We start from the raw sequence: 9,703 nt of genomic DNA on the forward strand, positions 1-9,703 counted from the left end.
CGCCCTTTTAAACCTTTTTCCTTCCTTCTCACTCCCAATTTCAGTTTTGCACCCCACTTCCCAAAACTAAAAGCCAATGGTATGAGTTCCCTTGTGCTTCTACCACAAACACCTGCTTATAATTGCTAACTAACATCCCCTCATCTTTTCCACCTTTCGAAATAGTAGTGTGCTCTGAATGCCATCCCCTGTCACTTTCTCTCTACTGAATCCTTCATATTAGTATTAAAAAGTAAAATCCCCTGACAGCATTTCTGACTACCAGCTGCTCTCCTATATTTCTCCTCCTCTTCTTCACTGTCAATCTTTAAAGAATTGCCTGGACTATTTCCATTCCCTTACATCCTATTCTTTCTTCAACTCAATACATCTGCTTTCCCTCCCATCACTCTAATGAAATGGTTCTCACTAAGGTTATTAATGGCCTCCATATCACTAAAGCCAGGAGACATTTTTCAGCCTTCATATTACCAGACCTCTTGGTGGCATTTATAGCATACTTTTCCATTGGCTTCTGTGATTCCGTATTTTTTATTTTTTTCTTCTGTGTCTTTGTAGTGGCATTATTGATATTTATGGTTTTCCAACATCTTTTAGGTGCATTTCTATATTGTGTTCATTTCCTTGATTATGAATCCCACCCCTTACCTGCCCAAGTCAAAGACCAGGACCTATATTGCCAGCCCCTCTCACAATCAAGTTTAACCACGTGATCTAGGGTCCTCTACTCAGTTGCATCCACATGAGACTTGGACTTAGAAAAAAATGATGCAAAGAAGGAAACAAGTCAAATTCATTTAGCTTGCATAGGGTATTATGAGGGTTAAATTTTATAATATGCATAGAGTAATTAGAACAGTGCCTGGGACAACACAAGCACTGTATCTGCATTACCTGTTATTATTCATACAGGAACAGTGATAGTGCTGACGGCTTTTGGGGATAGCAAGAAACATCCTCAGTAATCACAAAAACCAAGGTTAAGTTTCATTACCCTGACATATAAGTTTCAAATAATCAAAAAAAAAAAATTTAAAGGAGCCCTATTACCACCCTATGTAAGCCAACGATTGTCATCAAACATAAGACACTCAAAGACATCTAAGGACCTGCTACCATGGCTGTATGCCAGGTAAGATGATGGATAGATCAACAAATAAGGAAACAGATCAAGGTGTGTTAAACATAATCTATAGGAGGTTGGAAGATTCAGTGTGATTTCAATAGTGGTGTCAAATGCTTAATCTACATCTCCAGGTGTGGGCAGCTGCAGAAGGACATGGTCAACCTTCATACATGGAATTTATTTTTTCAGAAATTAAAAGAGGATCAGGGGAAAAAATGTCTTGGTCTAGAGGGCAAAAGTTGACTCAATTAACCTGAAACAGGGACTGCCTTTCCCTAATTCTCATCAATGTTTGGGATTAGCTATGACTGTAAATTGTATAAAATGAGAAAAGTTTTTTTTAATGGATTACTGCTTTGCAAGACTGCATACCTGAATAATATGGGATAATATGTGTAATTTCATATAATCAACACATCTGAATAATGAGAATAATATATTATCTACTTCACTTGGTTGTAACAAGGAGTGATTAAATAAATTAATAAATATAAAGGAACAAGAGCAATGTCTGGCATACCATTGTTTGCTTGATTTTGTTCATACACTTCATGCTGTGCCATTCCCTTTTACTGTTCTAAAAACAGTATATGCAGCTAAACTGCCTGCAATTCAGGGGCTCTTTGAGGGGAAGGTCACTCACTGCATGAGAGGAGAAGGAAGAAAACCCATGAATTGTAAGAGTTTATCTTGGAAGCTAAAGTCCTCCCAACCCACCTTAATCTTTCCAGGATGTTGTAGCAGAGGTCTCCTAAGAGAAGAGGTGGGCAGAGGCCTTAAGGGTTTCTATTGCATGACAATGCTTAAGGTTATACCTGCCTGCCCCAGACTGGCTTTCCACCCACTACAGTGCCTACCTCAGGTAGTGCCTTTCTCTCCTTCCCCAGGCCAGCAATGCCGACTCCCCCAGAGCCTTGAGGGCAGCAGTTTTTATAACCTCAACCACACAAATGATTGTCCAGCTATAGCCAGAGAGTCCAGGAGAGCAACATAAAGGGATTGCGCTCTCTGCATAACACTGGGCAAGATTCAGAATTTAAAATTTTGAATCCCGCTGAATAACTACTCCTCTTTGTGCTTTTAAGTCACTGGGGAATCGTTGGTGTGTTTGGATAGCTTTGGTTTATTTACACTACACATGTTCTTGTTATCACAGATTTTCTCTTCACCAGCATGGGGTCTGCTTGCCTCTGCGCTTCAAATGCCACTTTGTTTACTCGCTGTGGTCATCCTTTTCTGTAAATACTGTGTCAGCATTAACAGCCTCCTCTATGGCTACCTAGCAGGTCACTTAGTAAACTATCTTTTAGTAACAACTACATAGAATGAATACTCAGGAGCCTTAATTCAATTTACCTGCATAAAGAAACTATTCACTATTACAACACAGTTCTAAAAGTACGCGGTGGCTCACGCCTGTAATCCCAGCACTTTGGGAGGCCAAGGCGAGCGGATCACGAGGCCAGGAGATCGAGACCATCCTGCCTAACACAGTGAAACCCCGTCTCTACTAAAAATACAAAAAAAAACTAGCCGGGCGTGGTGGCGGGCACCTGTAGTCTCAGCTACTCGGGAGGCTGAGGCAGGAGAATGGCGTGAACCCGGGAGGCGGAGCTTGCAGTGAGCTGAGATCGTGCCACTGCATTCCAGCCTGGGCGGCAGAGAGAGACTCCGACTCAAAAAAAAAAAAAAAAAAAAGTACTCTGATAAATCATCTTGATACGAAAGAAAGTGAAGAGGAACATAAAGAAACCAGAGCATCTATAGCTCTTCAAATAGTTCCTCTTTTGAAGAACGTGTAAGTACAGAAATAACAAAAGATAAATACCAGCTGGGCGCGGTGGCTCATGCCTGTAATCCCAGCACTTTGGGAGGCCGAGGTGGGCGGATCATTTGAGGTCAGGAGTTCTAGAATAGCCTGGCCAACATGGTGAAACCCCATCTCTACTAAAAATAAAAAAATTAGCCAGGCGTGGTGGCACGTGCCTGTAGTCCCAGCTACTTGGGAGGCTGAGGCAGGAGAATGGCTCAAACCTAGGAGGCGGAGGTTGCAGTGAGCCAAGATCGCACCACTGCACTCCAGCCTGGCAACACAGTCAGACCCCGTCTCAAAAAAAAAAAAAAAAAAAAAAAGATAAATGACAAATAGCTGTATCAACCTGGGGAACAAATGCCAGAGACTAATTCCTTTAATATTCTGAGAACCTGTGGAAAATGCTATGTAAAGCAGAGGACCACCATTTGGAGTATATGCATACATATAAATGTAACAGACTACAGAAAATATGGAATTCTAAGAATATGGAATTCCTCAATATCCTTTTTGCTCTTACCTACTTTATTAAAGAGAATAATATTTGAACTGTAGTCAACTTTTTACCATCATAAAGAAGAAATTGAAGTCTAAAATATGGAAAAAATATCTTAGGAAACTGTAGCTAAAGTTAGTTCAAGTTTCCAAGCCCCACTGAATTAAAAACTAGAGGAACTAAAATCCTAAACTCAAGAAAATGTTTTCTTGATTTTGTTCAAGAGGGATAAGAAGTGAATTATTTTGAAAAACCACACTTTAACTAAATACTTATTCTGGACAAATTGCTGATAGGTTATTAAACAGATGAGTTGGGAGTATGTATTAATCCTTTCTTGCATTGCTATAAAGAAATACCTGAGACTGGGTAATTTATAAAGAAAGGGGGTTTAATTGGCTAATGGTTCTGTGGGCTTTACAGGAAGCATGGTGTTGGCATCAGCTGGGCTTCTAGTGAAGCCTCAGGGAGCTTTCAAACATGGCAGAAGGTGAAGGGGGGACACAGTCTCACATAGCGAGAATGGGAGCAAGTGAGAGAGAGTAGGGGGAAGGTACCACACACTTTTAAGACCAGATTTCATGAGAACTCACTCACTATCACATAGACAGCACCAAGTGGATGGGGCTAAACTATTCATAAGAAATCCACCCCCATGATTTAAATACCTCCCACCATGCCCACTTCCAACACTGGAAATTATATAAGATTTAGAGGGAACATCCAAACTATATCAGAGTACCTACAAGAAAAGAAGGTTAATTGCTGAGAAGCAGAATAGGTAAATCAAATGGGGAAAGAGAGAGGAGCATAAGGTGGTAGAAGGAGGGAGAGTACAAAAAGTTCTTTGTAATATGGACCAAAAAGATAACTCAAGGAAGTCTTCAACGAAAAGCAGGCAGTACAGGCAGTGGTTACCACGAGGCTTGAGTGAGACTCAGTGCTGTCCCAGTGGTGGTGGTCACAGGGGTGCTTGTGTCACCCCACCTCAGCTCCAGGAAACTGGAGAGAGAACAGAGAGAGAGAGACTCCATTTATTTGGAAGAAAATAAGGGCGAGAACAAGAGTCTTCCTGGTAGTCCAGAGAATTCTTCTGGATCTTATCCAAGACCACCAGGGAGGTACCACAAAATGTCTGCAAGAGACACAGAAATACTGAGCTTGGGGTGCCCCCTAATGCAGATACAGCTACAGTGGCCAAAAAACTTAGATCACAACATCCAAGTCCCTTCAAATACCTGGAGAGCCCTCCTAAGAAGGATGGGTACAAAGAAGCCCAAACTATGAAGATTTCAATAAATACTTAACTATTCAATGCCCATACACTGACAAACATTGAGAAGCATCAAGAACATTCAGGAAAACATGACCTCACCAAACAAACTAAATAACGTACTAGTGACTTGGCCTGGCGTGGTGGCTCACACCTGTAATCCCAGCACTTTGGGAGGCCGAGGTGGGTGGATCATGAGGTCAGGAGTTCAAGACCAGCCTGGCCAAGATGGTGAAACCGTGTCTCTACTAGAAATACAAAAACTTACCTGCGACAGGTGGCAAGCACCCGTAATCCCAGCTACTCGGGAGGCTGAAGAAGGAGAATGGCTTGAACTCAGAAGGCGGAGGTTGCAGTGATCCGAGATCACGCCACTGCATTCCAGCCCAGGTGACAGAGTGAGACTCCATCTCAAATAAATAAATAAATAAAAATAAGGTACTAGTGACCAATCACAGAGACACAGAGATATGTGACCTTACAGAGAGAGAATTCAAAATAGCCGTTTTGAGGAAACCCAATGAAATTCAAGGTAACACAAAGAAGGAATTCAGAATCCTAACAGATAGGATTTAACAAAGAGATTAAAATAATTTAAAAGAATCCAGAAGAAATTCTGGAGTTGAAAATGCAATTGAGGCCAGATGCAGCGGCTCACACCTGTAATCCCAACACTTTGGGAGGCTTAGGCAGGTGAATCACCTGAAGTTAGGAGTTCAAGACCAGCCTGGCCAACATGATGAAACCACATCTCTACCAAAAATACAAAAATTAGTAGAGTGTGATGGCACATGCCTGTATTCCCAGCTACTCAGGAGGCTGAGGCAGGAGAATTGCTTGAACCCGGGACGTGGAGGTTCCAGTGAGCCAAGATCACATGACTGCACTCTAGCCTGGGTAACAGAGATCCTGTCTCAAAAAAAAAAAAAGCGATTGATATACTGAAGAAAGTATCAGAGTCTCATAACAGCAGAATTGATCAAACAAAAGAAAGACATAATGAGCTCGAAGATAGACTATTAGAAAATATACAGAGGATACAAAATAAATAAATAAAAAAGAAAAAGAATGAAGCATACCTAAAAGATCAAAAACATAGCCTCAAAAGGGCAAATCTAAGAGTTATTGGCCTTTAAAAGGAGATTGAGACAGATAGGAGTAGAAAGTTTATTCAAAGGCATAATATCAGAGAAAGACATCAACATTCAAGTACAAGAAGGTTACTGAACACTAAGCAGATTTAACCCAAAGAAGACTACCTCAAAGCATTTAATAAACTACCAAAGATCAAGGATAAAGAAAGGATCCTAAAAGCCGCAAGAGAAAAGAAACAAATAACCACACAATGGAGTACCAATATGTCTGGCAGAAGACTTTTCAGTGGAAACGTTACAGGCCAGAAGAAGGCGGCATGACATATTTAAAGTGATGAAGGACTATAATCTCAGCATTTTGGGAGGCTGAGGCAGGTGTATCGCCTGATGTCAGGAGTTCAAGACCAGCCTGGCCAACTTGGTGAAACCCCATCTCTACTAAAAATATAAAAAAATCAGCCAGGAGTGGTAGCATATGCCTGTAGTCCCAGCTACTTGGGAGGCTGAGGCAGGAGAATCTCTTGAACCAGGGAGGCAGAGGTTGCAGTGAGCTGAGATTGTGCCATGCACTTCAGCCTAGGAAACAGAGTGAGATTCTGTCTCAAAAAAAATTTTTTAATAAAATAAATAAATAAAGTGATGAAGGAAAAACTTTTATCCTAGAATAGTATATCTAGAGAAAATACCCTTCCCACATGAAAAAGAAATAAAGACTTTCCCAAACAGAAGCTGAGGGATCTCATAAACACCAGACCTGTCCTACAAGAAATACTAACAGAGTTCTTTAATCTGAAAGAAAGGAATGTTAATAAGCAAGAAGACATCACTGAAGGTACAAAACTCACTGGTAATACTAAATACACAGAATATTATAACACTGTAATTGTGGTGTGTAAAGTACTCAGATCTCAAGTAGAAAGACTAAAAGATGAACTGATCAAAAATAATAATTATATCAAATTTTCAAGACAGTACAATAAGATATAAATGGAAACAAAAAGTTAAAAAGCAGGGGGATGAATTTATATATTTATTTATTTATTTATGTTGAGATGGAGTCTTGCTTTGTCGCTGAGGCTGGAGTTCAGTGGCACGATCTCGGCTCACTGCAACCTCCGCCTCCTGGGTTCAAAGGCTCCTCCCACCTCCATCTTCCAAGTAGCTGGGATTACAAGCATTTGCATAACACCCAGCTAATATTTGTATTTTTTTAGTAGAGGCAGGGTTTCACCACGTTGACTGGGCTGGTCTCAAACTACTGACCTTAAGTGATCCACCCACCTCAGCCTCCCAAAGTGCTGGGATTACAGACATGAGCCACCACGCCCAGCCAAAGCAGGGGGATGAATTTAAACTGTAGAGTATTTATTAGCTGTCTCTTTGCTCATTAGTTTGTTTATGCAATCATCGTTAAGTTGTCATCAGCTTAAAAATGGGTTTTTAAATATCATTTGTAATACTTGGGGTAACCTCAAATCAAAAAACATACAACAGATACACAAAAAATAAAAAGCAAGAAATTAAAATGTACCACCTGAGAAAATCACCATCAGCAAATGGAAGACAGGAAAAAAGGAAAGGAGGAGAAGACTACAAAACAACAAGAAAATAAATAACTAAAATGGCAGAAGTAAGTACTTACTTATCAATAATAATATTGAATGTAAATGGATTGAACTCTCCAGTTAGAAAACATAGAGTGGCTGCATGGATTAGAAAATAAGACCTAATGATCTGTTACTTACAAGAAACACACTTCACCTATAAAGACACATATAAACTGAAAATAAAAGAATTGAAAAAGATATTCCAAGCAAATGGAAACCAAAAAAGAACAGGAGTAGCTACATTTGTATCAAACAAAATAAGTTTTAAGACAAGTACTATAAAAACAAAGAATGTCATTATATAATAATAAAGGAGTCATTTCAACAAGAAGATGTAAGTGGTAAATCTGCATACACCCAACACTGGAGCACTCTGATATATAAAGCAAATATTATTATAGCTTACAGAGAGAGTTAGACCCCAGTACAGTAATAGCTGGAGACTTTGACACCCCACTTTCAGCACTGGACAGATCTTCCAGACAGAAAATCAGCAAAGACATTGGACTTAATCTGCACTATAGACTAAATGCACCTAACAGATGTTTACAGAACATTTCATCCAATGGCTCTAGAATACACGTTCTCCTCAGCACATGGATCATTCTCAAAGATAGACCATATGATAGGCCACAAAACAAGTCTTAAAACATTCAAAAACTTGAAATAATATCAAATATCTTCTCTGACCACAGTGGAATAAAACTAGAAGTCAGTAACAAGAGAAATTTTGGAAACTATACAAACACATGGAAATCAAACAATACACTCCTTAATGACCAATATAACAATGAAGAGACTAAGAAGAAAATTGATAAATTTATTGAAACAAATAATGGAAACACAATATACCAAAACCTATGGGATACAGTGAAAGCAGTACTAAAAGAAAATATTTATAGCTATATGTGTCTACATCAAAAAAGTAGAAACACTTCAAATAAACAACCAAATGATGCATCTTTTTAAATTTACTTTTTTCTTTTTTTTTTTTTTTTTTTTGAGACAGAGGCTCACTCTATCACCCAGACTGGATTGCAGTGGTGCGATCTCGACTCACTGCAACCTCTGCCTCCCAGGTTTAAGTGATTCTTGTGCCTCACCCTCCCAAGTAACTGGGATTACAGGCATGCATCACCACACCCAGCTAATTTCTGTATTTTTAGTAGAAATGGGGTTTCACCATGTTGGCCAGACTGGTGTTGAACTCCTGACCTCAGGTGATCTACTCACCTTGGCCTCCCAAAGTGCTAGGATTACAGGCATGAGCCATCTCACCCAGCCTATTTTAATTTTTCTAATATTTTTAACTTTTATTTTAGGTTCAGGGGTACATGTGAAGTTTTGTTACATAGGTAAATTTGTGTCATGGAGGTTTGTTGTACAGATTATTTCATCACGCAGGTATTAAGCCCAGTACCCAACAGTTATCTTTTCTGGTCCTCTCCCTCCTCCCGCTCTCTACCCTCAGTTATACCCCAGTGTCTGTTGTTGCCTTCTTTACATTCATAAGTTCTCATCATTTAGCTCCCACTTATAAGTGAAAACATGTGGTATTTGGTTTCCTGTTCCTGCATTCATTTGCTACAGATAATGGCTTCCAGATGTATAGTTTGCAAATATTTTCTCCCATTCTGTAGGTTGTCTGTTCAACCTGTTGATGGTTTATTTTGCTGTGCAGAATTTCTTATGCTTTTAGATCCCACTTGTCAATTTTTGCTTTTGTTGCTATTGTTTTTGGTGTCTTTGTCATGAAATCTTTGCCTGTTCCTATGTCTAGAATGGTATTGCTTAGGTTGTGTTCCAGGGTTTTTATAGTTTTGGACTTTAAAGTCTTTAAGCCATCTTGAGTTGATTTGTTATATGGTATAAAGAAGGGGTCCAGGCCAGGTGCGGTGACTCATGCCTGTAATCCCAGCACTTTGGGAGGCTGAGGCGGGTGGATCACAAGGTCAGGAGTTCAAGACCAGCCTGACCAAGATGGTGAAACTCCGTCTCTACTAAAAATACAAAAATCAGCTGGGCATCGTGGTAGGCATCTGTAATCCCAGCTACTTGGGCGGCTGAGGCAGAGAACTGCTTGAACCCAGGAAGCAGAGGTTGCAGTGAGCCAAGATGATGCCACTGCACTCCAGCCTGGGCAACAGAGCAAGACTCTGTCTCAAAAAAAAAAAAAAAAAAAAAAAAAGAAGGGGTCCAGGTTCAATCTTCTGCATATGGCTAGCCAGTTATCCCAGCACTGTTTATTGAATAGGGAGTCTTTTCCCCATTACTTGTTTTTGTCAAAGATCAGA

This window comes from Homo sapiens, chromosome 1 (genome assembly GCF_000001405.40).
Source record: "Homo sapiens chromosome 1, GRCh38.p14 Primary Assembly".
Classification (NCBI taxonomy): Eukaryota; Metazoa; Chordata; class Mammalia; order Primates; family Hominidae; genus Homo; species Homo sapiens.